Raw genomic sequence first — 21,722 nt, 5'->3', positions numbered from 1 at the left:
AGTCACTAGTGCAGATGTTCCTAATTATACCAAAAACACAAATACACAAACCAGTTTGTTCCAGCTACAGAATAATTTAATTAAAAGAGTGCTTATAATTTAACAGTGTAAATAATAGTTAAAGCCAAGGAGGTAGTGAAACTGCAAGGAAATATAAGCCTGCAGTGTCTATGCCAAGGAAACTGCTCTAAATTCTCAAGGTTCAGAAATTAGTTCCTTTCCTTGCTACAGGTAGAAAATTATTTGAATTAGCCAAGAACTGCAATGGATATATCTTTAAGGCAAACAAATACACACACATGCACACTAGGTCGGTAGCTTTTGCCAATAGAAACACCTATCTAAATCCAGAATATCATTTAGTCTGTTTTGGGGAAAGTTAAAATCAGACTTCTCACCAGTTTAAATATCTTACTGAGAAATAGATGTAGTAGGTAATGTGATACAGAAGTAAATCAGCATAGACAGTAAAACATAAGCTCTCAGGACACACAGGATTCTCTTTGCAAATACCAATCTTGGCAAAGAGCCTCCTTTATGTACAGAAAGCTTTGTTCCTTGTTTATAGCAACTCTCAAGGCTACAACAGGTAATTGTGTGCTGCTAATTAGGTTCCAAAACGATTGTGTTCAAGCCAGGAGTATTTTATAGCTTGATTCAGTGAAAGTAGGCAACTATATCCATAAGATCATGTTATAAAAACTCACACTCCCATAATTACTAATCTTTCACTCTAAAACAGTGTGAATTTTAACAGTGAAAAAATGTAATGTCATTCAAAAGTTTATTCAATGCTTAATAGCTATCAAAATACAGAGGAAAAAAGACAATTAGGAAAACTCTTCTCCAAATATATCCAATATGCTTGTTTCCCCACAGCTAATATCCATTTATTTAGCTAAATTGTTTATTCTAGGTCATAGTATTATTCCAAGGAAGCAAAGTGACATCTACTCTGCATAATACAGGAAACTCAAATGCAATACATTACCTTGGGTCACCTGTTGAACTGCCAACATTATCCCAGACACAGTGTCTGGAAGCAAGTTTTCTTTCAGATTGTAATGTGGTGCCCAATCCAAAATGGGCAGTCGCCTTCTACACCACTGTATAATGTCTTCACACTGGGGGGTATGCATCTTGCTCCAAAGCATGCTTTTCTTTTTCCTCTTTGCTCCTGTCATTTTTCAGATTTCTTCTTGTAGAAGTAAACTTCTCTAAACAAGAAAAAAAATCATTGCAGAACACCTCCTTTCAATGCCAAGCTCCAATTCGTCTGTGGTTTACAATGTCAAAGCTGCCCAGAAAATAAGTAAATAAAAGAGAGAGAGAGAGAGAGATTAACAGAAGCACTTCAATATATGCAGCTGTCTTTTTATGATACAGCTAATTATTCTAGATTTAAAAACTATAGATTAAAACCTTGAATTCTTATCTGAAGGAGAAGTAGTTCCTGTTCATGTAATATTTTTTTCTGGTCTTGGAAAAGTAATGGGTTCAGTGTTAAGTTGGTCTACAGCTCTCTCGCCAGTAATTCCCCTTATATTCACTGTAGTCTTATGTTTTTGGCTGCAATCCCAATGGTTAATGAGGTAGTTCTGGGCGTGTGTTGGAAGTGGGCTGGGCTATGCTAATGAAACCAGGAAATATCCAGCTAGTCCAGTCTCTCTCTACAAGCTGTGCAAAATCATAAAACTGCCAGAGGGATCTATTGTGCAAAATATATTCAGAGAATCCAGCCCTATTTCTTTGAGAGCTATATATTTTCAACATTATCAGATGACTGCCAGTTCTACAAAATTCAGAAACATAACAGGGCATTGCTAAAGGTCCTTACCATTTTTATTCCCTGGCAGATGAGGTTTTCATTCATACAGAAACATTCAGATAGCTACTGCCCAGTCTGGGAAAGGAGTAACTAGTTCTCATAAACAAACTGAAATTTCATCTCATGGGCTAAGAGAATAAGTATCACAATGAGCACATATTTGTGACAGGAGATCTTCCCTGTCTCTGAAACTGTTCATTCAGTTTTCTCTGATGGTTTCTCTAAGTCCTATAATTCATTCTACTGTAACTGAAATTTACTGAGGAATGTTATATGGTTCAAACTATTGTTTGAAGTATCCTTAGCTTTTTTTATGGTGCTGCCTTCTTTTTGTATAACTTTTGGGGGTAGGTGTTCTCTTTTTAATAAGGGGTGTTACATTTTATAATAGAACAGACTGTCAAAGATTTTTATTTTATGATCATTTTGCTTAGCCTCCAAAAGAAAAAGAAAAACTTAAATCTATGAACTGTGCCATTGGAATTAAACCAAAAAGGCAACATACTAACTAAAATTGTGTAGCCAAGGAAAAGAATACCATGTATATAGTTTGCTGAGTCCTTTTTAATGCCCATTTGTTTGGAGAATAGAAATCTGATTTCTGGAAGCCTTTATAATAACAAAGTACTTGGATCCCTCCTGCTGCACTTTTTCCCTTTGTTTTTAAATTAAAGTGAAGAGTTGCTCTCCATCTTCTAAAGATGACATCTCTAGCTTTGTGTCTGTGCAAAAATACCTTTCTTTTTAAATCCAACGAAGAGACGCAGCGGGGTGGGGGGGAATTTATTTATACTTACAAAATAGAAACTGCTTTGTTTGTCCAACTGTTTTTACATTATATTAAATTTCTAAACCATTCAATAGTTCAGGTTTGGGGCCTGTAGAGAGAGCCCCATTTAGAGACCAAGTTGTAGCATTTTAATCCTATCCTCTTGGTATGAGAGATGAACTCACCAAATAATTGTAAATTCATGCTTGAAACATTACATTGGTTTTCCTTCACAAAAAGCAATCTTTACTTTTGTTTTATATACTCCATTTATTATATACGCAAAGAAATTCAGAAGCTATACATACACTGATTATGTATTACCTTTATAATAAAAATAAACACAAGATTTTTTTTCAAATCCTATCTAGGTCATAAATTCTAACGTATGTTAACAATATGAGAAAAATAATTGAAAGCTTAACTGAAATCACCAATCAACATCTATCATTTGTGTAATTTCAATCATTTTTAAATTTGTGTTAAATTCCATAACAAAAAATTCACATGAACAGGATTTTATGAATTGAAGGTAAATAGAAGTACCTAAATCATATAGCACCAGCAATTGTTCTAAAACATTTCAAGACCAAGAGAGGGTAGAAATTAACAAAATAGTTCTGAAATCTCTCAATTTAAAAATTTCTTAAAATTAGAATGAATCTTTCCTAAAAATCTTTTTTGAAGCTTAAATCTGGAATTCCAATTCCAGATGTTTTTTTTCAATTTCCATGTGCATACATATTATTTAAAACATGTCAAACCAGAGCATGGATCATGCCTATTTATAATCAGCAATGCCAGAAAGAAAGAAAAACATTATGAGGAAATTTATTCACACACATAAGATTCTCAGAGTAACTTGAACAGCCTGCAAAATTCAAGAATGCTAAGTGTATTCATTCAAAAGTTTCAATGACTAAAAGTAGCTTACAGTTCAACAGTATGTACCATCTATATGGAATATCTCTTCCTAAACATCTGGGATAATACCTATACAAATAAAAAGATGAAATTGTTATCTTCTACTTCATACATGGATTAACAGAAAGATTTTTTGTAAAATCTCATTTTGATTACATCACTGATATGTTTGAATTTCAGTTATCTCCAATATCAAACTTAAACTCATTAGTGGAAGCAATGCAGTCCTTCTCTGCTCCCCTTCCCACCTTCTACTCACTAGCTTCTCATTAACTCTAATTCAGCAAGTTTTTATTAAACAATGATAATTTGCTAGACTCTGTGTGAAGTGCTACAGAAAAGGGAAGGAAAAGGAGTAGATACTACCTCTGTATTCTAGGAGTTACTATTTAATGAAGAAAATCAAAACATGTATAACTAACTCAAGGCAGAATGTGATAAATAACAGTCAAATCACCCAATAAGTCATACGGGAGCTCAGAGGATGGAGAGTGGCATTCCCTTTGCGGGGAAAAACAAAAGTATTTCAGCCTGCTGAGACTCTCTGTTGTAGCAGGTAATTATACTCATGATGTCCTGGCCATTACTTTTCCGTTTTGTTTTTTTTTTTTTTTAAGACAGAGTCTCGCTCTTAACTCCCAGGCCGGAGTGCGATGGCACAATCTCCACCCACTGCAACCTCCACCTTCCAGGTTCAAGCGATTCTCCTGCTTCAGCCTCCGGAATAGCTGGGATTACAGGTGCACTAGTCTATTTCTATATTAATGGCCCTAGTTACATGGTATTTTACATCTTCTAAACATTTACTCAATGTTTACCTCTTCCACGAAACTTTCCCTGGTTTCTCCACAATTTTATTTATGCTGTGTAATGAACATTCAGGTAACTCTCAGTGTATTTGTGTGTATAGAGCTGTAGTCATTTTCACTGTTTATTGGTTTTCCTCCTTTAAATCTATTTCATGTGATTTTTATCCAGTCTGACTCATGAGATTGTACATTCCTTTTGAGTAGGGATTATTCACATAAATTGCTTTGCTTCTTTTTTAGAATTTAGCAGAAGGAGCTGCAGACATTGGATTCACACAGTAAGTATTAACATACAAATGTTCATCCAAAAGTACCCAAAAATCATTTAGTCTATCTCATCCTGGTTTCCAGGTTGTGCTCTTAAAAAATCAGATAACCAGGTGGAGAGAAAATGAGAATAAAGGTTCTAGGAGAAAAATAAGATGAGATTTTATCTTTGTTTGCTCAGCTTCTCCCAGTTCTCTCACAATCTATGGAAAGTTCTTTTTTCAACACAGTTATTTTTTCTAATATTATAAAATCTGGAGCACAAAGAGAAGAAAAACCAGATGGGAAATGCGGAAGAAATAAAGGAGACAAAGGATAGACAGACACCCTCATGGGTTGGGGCTTCAGAGAGAATTTGTAGAGGGTTGGCATGTGAGGATCTCTGCGGCAATTATGAAGTGTGAGGGAATTTGGCCAGGCTCAAGTGAAGAAACAGACTTTTGAGAAATGCTGTGCAGGTTATAAACTGAATCACATTTAATGGTTTCTGAGAGACATTAGTAAAGAGTGAAATTCTCTCGCAGTATTTTTGGTTTTGACATGAGGCTTCTTTGAATGTGGTCTCTGTGGAGATTGGGACACCTAAGACACTGATTTATATCGAGGTTACAATGAAAAGTATAGATCAGACATTGGAAGTTATCAACCCCAAACTCATACCTACCTCAGGAAGTTGATCTACAGCATTTCTAAGAAGACACTGTAAAAGGCTCCCATCTGAGAGGGAAAACGAAGGCTGATACTAAGGAAGGCCATACTCTACCCACCAAGCCACATAGCTGGCATGGGGATACGTCCACACAATTGCGTAATTTGTATCAAGTCTACCAAAGTACTTTTTTTCTTAATTTACCCAAAGTTTCATACAGGCACATCCCTGAATCCAACCTCTGCTTTAATTCTTCCGATTTCTAAAATTAAAAGGCCTAGAAAAATAACCGATTCCAATTTTCTAACATTGTGATTGTTAGAACTTTTTTTCCCCAATTATTGAGGCAAAATCTGCTACTTAAGAGCCCAATCCCAATGACACATAACACATAATTAGTTCCTCAGCTTCAGGCCTAATTAATTTAGTGTAAACCTCTAAAGAGTTCTGATATTCTATGGTGCTGTTTATTTAAAAAATACTCTTACATTCAAATATGGACGCACATATATAAGTTAATTACAGTCCTGAACAGTGCCGTTAATATTTTTCTCATGATAGGCCAACCAGTACAGTAGAGTGAGCAAAGTTCTATGTTCTCAACAATGATTGCCAACATGTCTTACTTTGCTTTCTTTGGATTAAACTTTCCAATAGTTTCTTTAGTGTGTTTTTTTCTTTCTGCTATTATTTCATATTCTGTGATCTATTTTGATACATAATAGGAGCCAAAAGAATATAAATCAAGTGAAGTCACAAAATGCCTAGGGGCCAGGTGCAGTGGCTCATACCTATAATCCTAGCACTTTGGGAGGCAGGGGTGGGAGGATAACTTGAGCACAGGAGTTTGAGACCAGTCTGGGAAACATAGTGAGACCTCATCTCTACAAAATAATAATAATAATAATAATTGAAAAATTTAGCTGGGCATGGTGGCTCATGCCTGTGGTCCCAGCTACTCAAGAGGCTGAGGCAGGAGGATCACTTGAACTCAGGAGGTCGGGGCTGCAGTGAGCTGTGATCATGCCACTGCATTCCAGCCTGGGCAACAGAGCAAGATCCTCTCTCAAAAACAAACACAAAAAAGCAGCAAGAAAAAAAAAAATGCCTAGGGAAAGAATCACTTATATATTCAAACACATTTTACAATAATATAAGACATTTTCAAAGAAATCATAAAAAAAGAATGAAAAGAGGGAAAGAGGGGAGGAGAAAAAGGAAGAAGAAAATGAGAAAGAAGAAAAAGGAAAAGAAGAAGAAAAGGAAGAGGAGAAAGGAAGAGAAGAAAAGGCAAGGCAAAGGAGAAAGCAGTAAAAAATAATTAATTGAGGATTAATAAAAGCCTTGTCTCATTTCTGACTAACAACTGATAAAAAATAAGTAAAATAAACTATGGCCGTATCATGGCTTAAGAAGAATTGAAGATGCTTAAAAAGAGATTTACCCAATACACATTTAGGAAATTCACCTCCCTAAGGACTACATAATTGTGTGTCTGTAACTTGCTTTAGCAATCCTATTTCTAGAAACATTAACCTCTATGCTAAAGGAAATATGTATATATTGGAAGATTATGATTCTGTCTCTCTTTTGTATCTCATTTTGCAACTACACATACTAAGTTCCTTCAGTTATTCATAATATGATATATTTTCATCTTTTTACTTTTATTTATGTCTTTATATTTAATGCAGGTTTCTTTTAAGTGGTATACAGTTGGCTCTTGCTGTTTTAGTCCAATGTGATGACCTGTGCTTTATTTAGACCATTTACACTTAATGTAATTATTTATGTGGTTGGGTTTAAATCTACCGTCTTGCTGCTTCTTTGTTTGTGGATTGTGAGATTTTTTTTTACTCTGGCTAATGAAAACATGAACTGTGATGAAAACATGGAAACTATGTGAGTTCCTAAGATTACTCATTTTAATCATTCCCCAGTGTCGGTAGGTTCCTCCCATTCATGTGCTGATCATTACTTAGTTGAATATTCTGCATGTGCAGATTTCTGAGTCAGTGTGTCTCTCCTCTCTCTGGTACTCTGCCATGTGAAATCTAGCTGCTTTGGAGTCTCCAGACTCAGCTCCTTCTCTTCAGCCTATGAAGACTGCCAGCCTCCTCCTGAGTTATCCTCCACCCCCACTCTTTGGCACCATGGTTGCAAACTTTTCTAAAAGAAGATGGGACGGGACAATCTTAATGCTTGTTTTGTTTACTTTCCATCTTTCCAAGATCAGTCCTCTACTGACTGATGTCCAAAATCTTGACACCATCGTTTTATATATTGTATCAGGTTATTTTTATTTGTTTCAAGCAGGAGGGTAAATCTAGTCCCAATTACTCAAAACTGGCTAGAGATGGAAGTTATCTATTATGTAATATGGCTTTTAAACTGTCCAACATTATGATCACCCTCCCTATGACCTGCTACAGCTTGCCAATTTTCACTTTAGAATGTGATACAAAAATTTAACACAATTTTTAGCTGCGTTCTGACTTTAAAAGCATAAACATTACCGCACAATTAAATTTTAACTTTTTGCAAATCCACCGCTGTTTAAGTGATATATTCTCTATATTTTTTTATGTAGGAGGTTTTTATAAAAATTTAAGCACAATATTTGGTATTAAACCTTGTTTGATATCTTGAATCTAGTCAATTAGTTCATTGTATCAAAATCTTTTTAATATGATTCTGTTATTATCAATACTGATAGTTATGCTTTTCACTTATAATGTTAGCTATTCCTCCAAATTTTGTTATCTGTACTAATGAGCTGAGGTCGTTATAACAAAACACTATAGACTGGGTGGCTTAAACAAGAATTTATCACTCATAGTTTTGGAGGCTGAGAAGTTCCAGATCAAAATGTCACCTGATTCAGCTCCCTGGTGAAAGCTCTCTTACTGGCTTGCAGATGGCCACTGTTTCTCTGCATTCTCACATGGCAGAGAGAAACAGGAAGAAAGCTCTCTGGTGCTTCCTTTATAAGGGTATCATTGCCACCATGATGACCCTACTCTCATGACCTTATCCAAACCTAACTGCCTCCCAGAGGCCCTGTCTCTAGATTCCATCACACTGGGGGCTAGGGCTTTAACATATGAATTTTGAAGGAATACAATTTACTCCATGGCATTACTAAAAAATTGATTAAGAATGCTGTATATAGGCCTTTATTAAAATCATTCATGAAAAATAAAAGCCAGACATAGTTACAAGTCCCTGTACTTCATATCAAAATTTATTCCTTAGTAGGCATTATTTGAGAACAATCAAATGGAATTTTTTCATGCTGTCCAAAAAGATATGGAGAGCTCATATCAAAGTAATTACTGAAATCAAATATGTTATGTTTTCAGCAGTCATGTAACTTTTCAATATAGTACTTCTATTAAAAGATATTGAAGTTTGTCTAAAAACTTCATTAGACTCTGTCCCTGGATAGAGAGTTCCCACCTGGAAGGGATAATAATAGCAGAGAAAAAAAATGAAATATTCAAAACTATTGTGTTACTCAGAAGAAAAATGGCTAAAATACTCCATACAGCCTATATTGTTCCAAAGGGATAAGTCTAAAAAATATTTACTGAACACTGCCAAATAGTGTTTGACATGTAGGGGAAAATTTCAAAACTAGGGAAAATTCAGAACTAGCCTCTATCTTGCAATGTTAGCCTCATTAAATCTCTTAAAGTTGAAATAGTACCAAAAGATCATTCCTAATTAAAAGGACACAAGCAATGTGAAAATCATTTTTATAGCATTTCTAAGATACGGTCACGCAGCTTTTTATGTGCGAAGTAGGGGATTATTCTAAGATGGAGGGCTTATAATTATTTTTAGGGTTCCCTCTTCCTTGCAACAAAGAATGTTTTTCAAGACAATTATTGTGTCCATAGAAATATGAGTAAGTGTGCAAAGTTCAAAAATAACCAAACAACTCTCATGTATATTATTTAGAAATTAAAACTCAACTTTTAAAGTTGACTTTAAAAATTTGCTTTTACTGTCAAGCTTCATGGCTTTGTATTCTTTGTGTTAAGGATCAATAGAGCAAAATGCACAACACACTTTGATAAGAATTCAGAAGCTATTTATATTTCTCAATATTTTTCTTCATTTTTCTGATTATTAAATAATCAAATTACTGTTATAAAGTAGATGATTTCAGAAAGTATAGAAAAGTGTTTTAAAAGATAAAGAAAATATGTTCCATAATCACACTGTTGATTTAAATTTTGGTATAGTTTGTTCAGCTTTTTAATGTGAAATATCTTTCTTTACGTAGTTGAGGCATTACTATACATGTAATTTTTTATTTCATTGAGATTTATATCATAAGCCTTTGTCATATCATCAAAAACTCTTAGAGAATATCATTTTTAATGACTGTACAATATTTCTTCACAAAAATGTACCATAGTTCACTTACCCAAGAAGTAGAAACTGGTTACTTACAATTTTTATTATTATTACAGATAACACTAGGGTAGACATCTCTGAGAATAAATCTTTATCCAGATTTCTGATTGTTTCCTTAGAAGCAGAATTATTAGGGTCCAAGTGTCAAAGAATCATTGCTAATGATGTCATTTTTATTGGACAGTATTTTTTTCTATGTGCCAGTGAGGCTCTTCTGGGTCACCATTTTACATGGCCCTGGACCTATAATAAACTCATCTTTTGAGGGTCTCACTCAACACTGTTGTGTGTTGACTTCCACAACACTTACTGATGTCTAGTTTTCTGGATCAATTGAATTTCCAGCAAGAATTTAGAGCATTCATGCTTTCCCAGGATCTTAAAGCCAGGGAATATATTTTTCTTTTGTGCTTGTTTTCACTTGCTAGTTTTCATTCCACAACTGAAAACCTAATTTAAATATAGGCTACCACTAATGACTTGTTCACAAACAACACATAATAATATTCAGAAATTTGCTGTGCTCAAGCTTATTTGTCTCAGGAAGTCAAATTGAATGCCCAAGTATAACTCAGACAGTGGAGATTAAAGTACTATAATAAGAAAAGGGACAGTGAATAATTATAAGTTTCTCATTTATTGGAAGATGCAGAATAAGTTTATAAGCCATTTTAGTTTGTTGAAAATGCAAAATTTTAAGAAACTTTTTAGACCTTCCACAAAGAATTTCTTTCACTTCAAGAAATAGCACATAGGGAAGAGTTCCAGAGTTCTCATTCTCCCCATTAATTAGTAACACTATTGAAATTTACTCTAGATGTTTCAAAGTTTACATTGCACACAGATTGGGATGATATTGTGTACCATATTCACTATATTACTAGCAGTAAAATACATATACTAGAATAGATAAACCAATCCTTATGGAACTTTACTTTTTATTCATGTCAAAAGGAGCATAACAAAAAATAAATATTTGAAGTGCTGTAATATGGAAGCAGACAACCAACCAGAACATTGGCAAGCAAAGCTGAAATTCAATCCCACCAAAGCCAAAACTCAATGCCAACTTTTCAAGGTCTTTGAGGGAAGAATTTAGATAAGTAGAGTACCAAGGACAATGCTTGGCACACAGGAGAGGTGCTGATAGATGTTAGTTGTTAGCTTCCATAAATTTCATTAGTTGCTAAGATAATTTGGATAATGTTTAAGTCTTTCAGTAGTTTTGAGTTGTTTTTAATATGTCTTAATACATTAAAAACGTAAAGGAATAATACCATGTATGTCTTACTTCCCACCATTATTCAATTTGAATGAAATGTTTTCCTTTTCTCCTGTGATGGACAATCTTACCCAGTTTGTAGTCCCTTTCAAACCTGTCTACTTAGCCCCTTGAAAAACAACTCAAATCCATCTGTGTCAATCCTATGTCAACAAAGATGAATTAGTTCTTGAATTGAAATACTGAAATGCAGAGTGGAGAGGATTTCTGAAGCATTATGTTCAGTAAGAAAGTTTGTATAGACCCATACCTGCTGCAGGCATTAGGGGATGTAACAACAACATAGTGTGTGTGAATCTGTCATTACTGATCTAGGAACTTTTAATCTAAGGCAATTTCTTATGAGAGCTAGCAGAAATATTTTCTCATATATATGTGTATATATATGTACACATACACATATATATACATATATACACATATATATACGTATATACACATATACACATATATACATATATATACATATACATATATATATATATATTTTTTTTTTTTTTTTTTTTTGAGACGGAGTCTCGCTCTGTCGCCCAGGCTGGAGTGCAGTGGGGCGAACGCGATCTCGGCTCACTGTGAGCTCCGCCTCCCGGGCTCACGCCATTCTCCTGCCTCAGCCTCAAAAGTAGCTGGGACTACAGGCACCTGCCACCATGCCCGGCTAATTTTTTGTATTTTTAGTAGAGACGGGGTTTCATGGTGTTAGCCAGGATAGTCTCGATATCCAGACCTCGTGATCCGCCCGTCTTGGCCTCCCAAAGTGCTGGGATTACAGGCGTAAGCCACCACACCCGGCCTCATCTATATATCATTTTTAAGAGACTGACTCTGGGTATATATGATCTATAAAAACAAGATTTTATTGCACTTAAAACTAGGGCCAAAATAAAGTAATAAATATGCTTAGTAGCACATAGTACTTACGCCTATCAATCCTTATAGATGTCCATAGAGAAGGAATTGTTTTTATGGTCTCTCTACTAACTGGTATTTAAAATAAAATATCCATCTAATTAAATATATACGTCCAACGTCTTCTACCCTATAAACGTTCTTATTATTTGGAGTCACTGTCTTAATAGGTTGCTTTAAAAATTATGCAGGATGATCAGAATTTTTTGACATAGCTTCCATACCCAAGGAAGACTCAAGAATGAGGGAGAGATATACTTCAAGATACTTAACATAACCGGGATTGTAGGAGTCTTTAAAACCAAGGACCAAAGACTTAAGAGCTCAAGGTCTAAAGTGCCCTTTTTGAATGTATTCTTGATATTAGTAATAAGGCAAATTATATGTATATATATATATGTGTGTGTGTATATATATATGTATATATAAATATATATATATAAAACCTTTCTCATGTTCTAATCAAGTCTTGTGTAGATAATGCACAAAAAAGTGAATGTAACAGAAGTGGCTATATCATATACATCAATAAAGCAATTTCTGAACCTGATGAGCCACTTTAGCTATAGAATAAAAAGTTATTTTCATATCCCACCTCCATTCTCATGAGCACTGTCAAATGACAACCAGTGGAAGGCAGGGAGCTCATCAACTTATTCATAATGAAGAAAAATAAAGAATAAAGAATCCCACCCAAGGATATGCCTTTTATTCCTGCCAGCCCCAGGATGATCATCAGATGAGGAAAGTGAAATAGAAAATAAAAAAGGAATATAATGTTTCTCCTATGAATTTTTAATTCCTTTACAGGCTCCTTTTACTTTTGTTTATAATGTTATTAGATTGAAAATCAAAAGGAAAGATTCAAGAATACAGCAGTGGTAAAAGCAACATCATATAGCAAAAATCTGGGGGTCCAAAAATGTCAAAGAGAAATGTTTGCATGTGACTACATATATGGTGATACTATGAACACTATTACAGGAGAGATGAGAATGGGAATCTTGGAATCCACCACAATAAGGTGATGATTAAACCCTAGGAAATAATACCAATAGAGTGAAGTATGGGATTAGAGATGGAACAATATCAAATACAGAGAAAACAAAGAAAGATGAGGGCTTAGAAAAGTCTGGAATTTAGCAATTAGAAATTTGCTGAGTGATCTTTGGAAGAGGAGCTTTATTACAATGTTGGGTGCAGAAACCAGATTGCAGTTGAAGAGTGAATGAGTGATAAGGAAATAGGGGATATGAGTTTAAGAAGTATAATCAAATAGAGTGCAGTTAAAGCTTGAGGTTTTTAAAGGTAGAAATCTCTAATCATGTTTATAGAGGAGGAAAAGACACGGTAGAGAGAAAAAGAGTGAAAATGAGGCAGGCATGCTGATGCCAGATGGAGCAAGTCTGGAAAGAGGTAAGAAGTAAAGGGATAAAGGGCACTGATTACAGGAGCATCCTTTAAAAAGACAAATATATATTTCTCAGGGAGAAGTATCGACAAAGGAGAGAATCTGAAATAGAGAGGAAAGAAATTGAGTTTTTTGTTAAACTGCCCCAACTTAACTGGAGTAATAGCTAAGCATTGCCAGATTTAGCGAATAAAAATACAGGAAATCTAGTTGAATTTGAATTTCAGATACACAAGAAAAAATTATAGCGTAGCTATGTCCCACACGATATTTGGAATATACTTACACAAAAAATAAATGATGTTGTTTATCTGAAATTCACTGTTTTGCATGAGACATACAGTAAAAAAGTCATTTATCAGACACACAAATTTAAATGGGCATCCTGTGGATTTTGGTGTAGTGAATTGGATTGGAAATACTATAACAGAGTTCAGGGTATGTTCTACCCCTGGCCACCAGCTTGCTGTGTTACCAGGGAGCACATCTGTCAATGATAGCGGGTAGTAGTAACAGTCAAATTGGGTTTGAATTCCAGTTCTGTCACTTCTTAGCTTTGTAATCTTCTGCAAGTTCGGTTGACAGAAGGATTAAATGAAATAATTTACCTAAAGTACAAAGCACAAATGTTGTTACAGAGTAAGCAATTGATAAATATTAGACATTAGTGTGGTGATAAATGGCCCTGGGAGTAGAGGTTGTAGTTGTTTGTTTTATTCTGCACATATATAAATTTTATGTAGTAAATAATAATGTCAGAACTATTTGTAATAATAATGACAATCAGTATTAGTTGAGTTTCAGAACTGGGAAATCAGACACTCACATTTAAACTATAAATGATATGTTTATTACAATAGTGCTTCCTGTATAACTTTAACAATATTAATGGCTCTTCTTGCACTAACTCTTAAAGCAACAGTGTCATCTAGTGGCCATGAAGTCAATAATGAACAATTAAGAACACCTGGATAAAATTTGTGAGTTTTTTTTTTATCTGCACAGAAGTTATTGAATTTATATCAGTGATGAATGTTGATGGTAATATTTTCTGTAACCTATTACATCAGCTCATCTCATTTTGTCTCATTAAAATGATGCACACTTGACAACATGAGGGCATTGGGTATCTGCTGTTCTTACCTACTTTTATTAAAGAAACATACCAGAAGGGTTTAATTATGAAATTACTCAGAGGGACTTTGGACTTCCCAGACCTTCTCCTAACTCTATTATTCCCTGAAAACTTTGGCAGAAGGGGAGGGATAAGTGAACAAAGCTGGAAATACGAAGCTTGAGACTTTCTCAATTACCAGCCTCAAATTGCTTTTCATTCTATTTAGGTTAGAGGTTTCTATTTTCTTTTTCATGCAGTTAAGAATATCTATGCTTTTCTTTTGGAAAAGAAATTTTCCCAAAACACAAATTAAGATATAAATATTTGGTTACAAATTTTGTATCTGTATTAATTGGGGACCAGTGTCTGTTCCAGATACATTATTTAGCTTCTGTCTTGAGGGCTTTTCGAAGAGATGAGAGATTTATAGTTCATAAAGTTATGCATCTAAGTAAAATTTTCAGAAAGTAATGAATAGGGCAGCTTTTGTTCACTTCCAGAAATGTCAAGAGAAATTAAGTTAAGAATCCCAAGTAGCTTTTAGGAGAGATTTTACTCTGACCCCATTTAATCTATTTGTTATATGAGCATATTATAGAAGTCACAAACTAGAGTCCCATGGCCTAATGGTCAAAAGATGGTTAAATTAAGTAAACTTGGCATTAAAACTGGTAATATATCAACTCAGATATGGCTCAAGAGTTATTAATCAATGATTGTTGGAAGTATTTCCTGAGTTTGTGAGAAATACATATATTTTAAACATCAGTTTGAAATCAGTCCTTTTAAAGAACTAATCTTTTTTAGGTATACTTTTGAAATCCCCAGACAATAATTTTCAATTACCAAATATTTCTGTGGCTCCCAGACATTTTGCAGTTTTCTCTTCCCCCAGACTCCCCTTCACCCAAAATCTCTCATAAATATTTCATGGCTTACACTGTTTCACAGTGTTCCTAGACTGGTGGGAATTCTGATTTTTCTCTTTTCGTCTTGATCTAAATGAGTAAAGATATGAACATGGATAATTTATTAGAAACTGCATACCAGATTCTTTAAAGTCAGTCCTAAATATGAGTGAGAATGTACCTCCAGTAATATTTCTTTCCATCTCCTCTAGTTCTCCTTTTTCTTTTGCTGTTTATTTTTAGGACTTTAGGGACTAAGCCCTCAATGACCAGAGTTGAGACATAATTCTACCCTGCAGAAATTCAGGCACTTGGGCTGGGCATGGTGGCTCATGCCAGTAATCCCAGCACTTTAGGAGGCTGAGGTGAAAGGATTGCTTGAGCCCAGGAGTTCAAGGCCAACCTGGGCAACATGTCAAAACCCACTTTCCACAAAAAAATTTTTAAAAAATTAGCCTCGCGTGGTCACTCATGCCTGTAATCTCAGCTAGTCAGGAGGCTGAGGTGGGAGGATAACTTGAGCCCAGGAGGTAGAGGTTGCAGTGAGCCACGATCACACCACTGCACTCCAGCCTAGGTGACAGAGGAAAACCCTGCCTCAAAAAAAGAAAAAGAAAGAAAGAAAGAAACAGAGAGAGAGAGAGAGAGAGAAAGGAAGGAGGGAAGAAGGGAAGGAAGGAAGGAAGGAAGGAAGGAAGGAAGGAAGGAAGTAGGTAGGTAGGTAGGTAGGTAGGTAGGTAGGTAGGGAGGGAGGGAAGGAAGGAAGGAAGGAAGGAGAGAGAGAAAGAGAAAGAAACAATGACTGTTTTGCAACAATGACAAGCCTATTCATTGAATGAGAAGATTATTTTCAATTTTCCCATTTGAAAAAAATATAGGGTTTTCATTTGGGCTTGTCTGTTTTATTTAACAGCATCACATACTTCAACATTTAATTTCGGAATTCCCTTATGGGACTTGAGAATGGAGCAAGTATTTTATGAAGCTGAAAAGAAGGCAAAGACAGGTGTCTTTCACTACCAAGTCTCTGTGCCCCACTTCTATTAAAAAAAAAAAAACAGAAGGGCCACCCAATTTTAATGAATGCAATAACAATGACTATGTGTCATTGCTTTAGTAATGGCTAACTGGTAGGCAACTACTCTACTTCTTAAGAGACCTAGAAGAGTTTCCTAATGCACACACTAATTAATGAAGGGTTTGGTGGGACACCCTGAAAAATAACAGCTTTAACATTTTGAAAAGAATTAAAAAGTTTGTGATATGTCCAATAGACTTGCTTAAAGCCAATTAAGTTATAGAACTCGTGAGCTCCAAAATGTATTCCTAACCAACATTTAACACACAGAAAGATGGTAGTCATCCATCAAAGGGCATGAAAAAAACAGATACCAGAACTTTCAGAGAATTGAGGATTATACTAGTGAAAAAGAAATTAAACTAAGTTGATTAGGAAAATTATTTCAAGATTCACATAAACCAGTGTTAAATCTATTCTTGTTTCAGTTTTCTACCTCTGCCCCGATCAATTTGGAATAAGCAGATGTTTCTGGAAACCCAGATTAGAATATCATCCTTAAGATTTTTGGAGAAGAGAGGAGCCCAAGGACAGAGTGAAGGCAGTAAAAGAGAATGGAAGGTTGTTCTGGGGGCTGGAAGACAGTAACTCATTCACATGTCTAAAAATAGCATGTCTATAGCAACAAGGAAATTCAAAAGATTGTTGTAGCAATTCTGGCTTTCTGGAGGACTCTATGACCAAAGCATAGGTGAACTGAAAATAAAACACATTGAACTAAAACAGAGGTAGCTGAGAGTTTTAGTGTAGTTTGGGACAAGTTGCTTGGGGCCTTTACCTTTTCAGCTTTCAAGAACATATTTGTCTGAAAGGTGAGATTTCAGGTTCCACACCCCTCTCCTACGTTTTCTTTTTCTTTTTCTTTTTTTTCTTTTTCTTTTTTTTCTTTTTTTGACACAGAATCCCGCTCTGTTGCCCAGGCTGGAGTGCAGTGGCACAATCTCCACTCACTACAACCTCCGCCTCCCAGGTTCAAGTGATTCTCCTGTCTCAGCCTCCCAAGTAGCTAGGATTACAGGTGTGTGCCGCCATGCCCAGCTAATTTTTGAATTTTTAGTAGAGACTGCGTTTTGCCATGTTAGTCAGGCTGGTCTCGAACTCCTGACCTCAGGTGATCCACCTGCCTCGGCCTCCCAAAGTGCTGGGATTACAGGCATGAGCCACTGCGCCCTGCCCCTCTCCCACATTTTCTAAGGGAAAAGCTGTCTACTTCTCTGCTTTTTCTCCTGATGTTTCCTCTTCTCCTCTTCTGCACTTATCCTGTTTTGCATTATTGCAAGCCTCAATCCAATGAATCTTAACTAGGCTGAAATAAATTATCCTCTGTTTGATGGTTTCTTTTTCATTAGGGTCTCACCAGGATATCAAAAAGCACAATTTAAATACAATCAAGCAGGACTGTGGCAGCATCTTGAAAACCCAAGGCATTCTCCACCAACTTGGAAGTATTCCCAATATAATTCAATTCTCCTGATGAACATTAAGCACATTCTTAGCTAGAATTGTCAAGTCTTAATTTGTCAGTAATCACCAGCTTTCACAAATGCATAGCCTTTCTTGGAATCACAGGAGCCCCAAGAGATCAACTCATTCAATCATCTGTATTCTCTAAATGCTTTTCCCCCAGTAAAAGCAACATTTTGTTTAGATTGAAGCTTCATAGAGGTGTATTACAAGCCTGTTAGGCATAGGCAGTGCCTGATTCTTTTATACAATGCTTTGAGCCTTGTGGATGTTCTGTCAACAAACACTAACTCCATGACATAGGCCAATTTATGATGTCTGAAAACATCATCACTAAGTCTCCCCACTCCTTGCCACCTATTCAAGCATTCTGGCACTCTGATTTCCCCAAATCAAACCAATGTGATTTTTTTAGATGCCTCTGAAATTCAGCAAGACATGTTCAACCCAAAACACTGGTTATGGGGCACATGCCCTGGAAAATCTACTGGTAAAATATAAAAGGGAATATACTTAATATTGTAAGGAACGTAGTATGTTGCAGTGGAAAAGGACTTTTTTTGTTTTTAACAATAAAGTATCCCTTTCATGGAAAGTGAAGTGTGGAATCAGCAGTAAAATACTTGATATCTTTTCATCACAGATTCTCTGAGTTTCTCTAAATATTGCTCTAAAAACATAGTGTATTAGAATTCTCATTCATAATACAGACCCTATATTATGGGAAATAAAAATAGCATATTTTGGTTAGAAATAAATGTATTTGATTAGAAATAAATCTGAAAATGCTTACATTGAAAGACTTGAGTTCCATGAAAATTTCTATCAGGAAAGTAGTCCTTTATTTATTGCATATGTACTTTAAAAATACATTCAGGAAAAACTTAATTTCAGATTCATTTTGTTTTTCTTAATTAGTCATTCTGGTCCTAAAAGAACTTGTGAGCTTGAAAATCTTAGGTAGTCTTTGTTATATTACACACTAACAAAATTATACAAAATAATAGATGAAGATTTCATATACCTACTATTCTAAAAAATGACACAAAGACCCATCACTATGACTATGAAGTTGTTATTATATCAAAGGAAAAGCCATTGTAGTAATGTCAGATAATTCTCTGACCTCCAGTTCCTGCCTAGCCGTGGTAAAGAAACAAAACAGGGAAAAAAGACAATGCTCACATGTGCACACACACACATACACACACATACACACATACACACAGAGTTCCCTATGTCATACAGTATTTGCCTCCTGCCTGGAGATCAGAAACCAAACCTACTGGCTCCATTTTTTTTCTTACAGTTTTAGAATTTAAAATAATCCACCAGAAGCTGCAAGTTGAAACACAGTGATTCAAAGTGTCAGACTCTTAATCCTTCAGAAGAAACAGAAAAAGAAAAGAAAAGAAAAGAAAAAGAAAAAAGAAAAGAAAAGGAAAGAAAGGAAAAGAAAAGTATTTCATCGCTGACACAGCCAGACCTTATTAAGTGGTCCCTTTCCAAGAGTGTGCCTTCTGACTTTGCAACAGGCTCCCCGTGTGTGATTTTGGCCTTCTCGCCATTACAAGAGCCTTCTGTACATGTCCCTGTATTTTTGCTATCTGAGACTACAACATCTAAGGAAATAAGTTAATTGTTCACTTGTTAAAACTCCATATAAGACTAGTCTAAAACAGGACTTAAATTTGTAGAACAGCAATGAAATCATAGTCATCTGATGATATAAGGATATAATTCATTCCTCATCAGAATCCATGCCTTTGCTTATATTTTTCTTTCCAATGGCCTGCTGAGCATTTCCACTAATGTCCAGTTAGCATCCTTAATTTCCCACGTCTATCATAAAATCAAACTCATCCTTTTCTACCATATCCAGGCCCCCTTTCCAAATCTCTTACCTTGCTACTTGGCACCCACATTCTTATAAATACCCAGATAAAACCCAGATAAGATGGAAAGTTTCCAGCTATTCATGTCTCCACCCACTTTGCTCTTTGATGCATAGTAAGTTGATTCTCTCTCTAAAATAAAGGTCTTCTAAATCTATCTCATGGTCAGTTCCCCCTGCCATAAACTCAACTGTCATTTAGTGTACTCATGCAGACTAGTCTTATAAATTCAATTTGGTCTTTTTCCTCCTTGCTTGATTATACCCTCTTAATTCATCTTCCGTGTTGTTGCCATCACTTTTAGCCATTCCCTGTTCCGTAGTATTCAGTATACATAAAGCATAAGCTTCTAGAAATTCAAGGTCCTCCATGACATCTATTACAAACATTGACTGAACACATACTGTGATGCTAGGCTATGTGCTTTTCATAAATTGATTCATTTAATCTTTATAGTAACCCCCTGAAAAGGGACTATTTTTTATGTTACAGGTAGAGAGGTCACTGATAGAGGTCCTGAGAAGTGAGAAAACTTGCTTCTGGTCCCACTGTGGTAAATACAGGAATAGGACCAAAATGTGCCAGGAACCATCTGGGAGAAACTGTTTTCCGATTAGAGGGAATTGCATAGAGAAAGTCCCCAGGTGGGAATAGCATGGGAGCTTCAGAGCACTGAAAGGAAGACAGTTGGGAGGAAAGTGAGCCTAAGGAAAGAGTGGCAAGAGGTGAGACCAGAGAAGAGGTAAGAAAAGCTAAACCACAAAGTGCCTGTGAGAGATGTCAAGGAGTTTGGACTTTGTCTAGAACATAACTGGCAGCTAACCAATGTTTCTATGTATGCTTTGGTTCATAGCAGCTTACTCATATTAAACAAAAATTGGACAAGCCCAAATTGGAGAATGGATGAGCAAAGTGTATTACAGTTACGTTATGGAATACTATTCAGTAACAAAAAGGAACACACTCGTGATATATGCAACAATATGGATGAATCTTGAAACCATTATACTAAGTGAAAAAAAAGCCTTGCAGAAAAGAATACATATTGTATGATTCCTTTTATAGGAAGTTCTACAACAGGCAAAAATCTATGGTGGAAAAAAATATCAGAAAAATGGTTGTTTGCCGGGGGTGAAGGGGCAGCATGGAATTTACCAGAAAGCAGCGTTGCCAGATTAATTTTGAATTTCAGATAAACGAATTTTTTAGTACAAATGTGCCCTGTGCAATGTTTATGACATTACTATATAAACGGGTATCCATTGTTTGCTAACATTCATATTTACCAGGGCATTCTATATTTTTATTTGTAAAATCCAGCAACCTTACAGGGAAGGGACATGAGAACATTTTTTGGGGTGGTGGCAATGCTCCATATCTTTATAAAGGTTTGGGAATGTATTTGCCAAAGTCTTGTAAATTTGTGTATAAGAATGTTCATGTAAAAAAGATAAAAAGATAAGTATTTAACTCTAGTTAGTGATATGCACACTGAAATGCTAGAAGGGAAATATACTGATGTTTACAACTTACGTCAAAATGCATAAAAAATAAGATAGACTGATGACTGAATAGAGGAATAAATAGATATTTAATAAGGCAAATATAGTAAATGTTAATTTTAGAATCTAGGTGATGAGTATATGGGTGTTCATTGCAAAGTTCTTCCAACTTTTCTTTATGTTTGAGAATTTTCATAATAAAATGTTAGAGGGAAAAATTCATGCCCTGCCCTCATGGAATTTACACTATAGTGGAGCAAGACAGACAATAAATAAATGAGTAAGTAAACAGTAGAGTGAAATAGAAGGTGATGAGGGAGAAAGATAAGGGAAAGGCCTTTGTGCATGTTGGGGTTGGCATCATAACTTTAAATAGGGTGGCCAGGGAGGGACTTCCTAAAGGTTGTGGGGAAATGAGCCAGAACATCTGAGGGAACAGTGATCCAGACAGAGGAAATAACATATGGAGAGAGAGACTGGCAGGA

At 35.4% G+C, this 21,722-nt stretch overlaps 1 protein-coding gene across 4 annotated transcripts in view; it reads right to left on the bottom strand.

Annotated features, from left to right (window-relative positions):
• SLC26A7 (solute carrier family 26 member 7) overlaps positions 1 to 21,722 on the bottom strand; it is a 188,660-nt gene that overhangs the window by 147,320 nt on the left and 19,618 nt on the right. For 2 of the 4 annotated variants that reach the window (NM_052832.4, NM_134266.2), the window contains exons 1-2: positions 1,423 to 1,517; positions 992 to 1,297 (exon numbers count right to left, since the gene is read on the bottom strand). In NM_052832.4, the coding sequence (NP_439897.1) occupies positions 992 to 1,184 (193 nt within the window). In that variant the 5' untranslated portion in view covers positions 1,185 to 1,297; positions 1,423 to 1,517. Of the gene's footprint in view, positions 1 to 991; positions 1,298 to 1,422; positions 1,518 to 21,722 lie in introns of those variants that run through there. The other 2 variants (NM_001282356.2, NM_001282357.2) reach the window with 2 other exon arrangements.

The sequence above is a fragment of the Homo sapiens genome, chromosome 8 (genome assembly GCF_000001405.40).
Source record: "Homo sapiens chromosome 8, GRCh38.p14 Primary Assembly".
NCBI classification, from domain to species: domain Eukaryota; kingdom Metazoa; phylum Chordata; class Mammalia; order Primates; family Hominidae; genus Homo; species Homo sapiens.
Note: the sequence above shows the minus strand (reverse complement) of the source record. Positions and strands in the feature narration are given on the sequence as shown.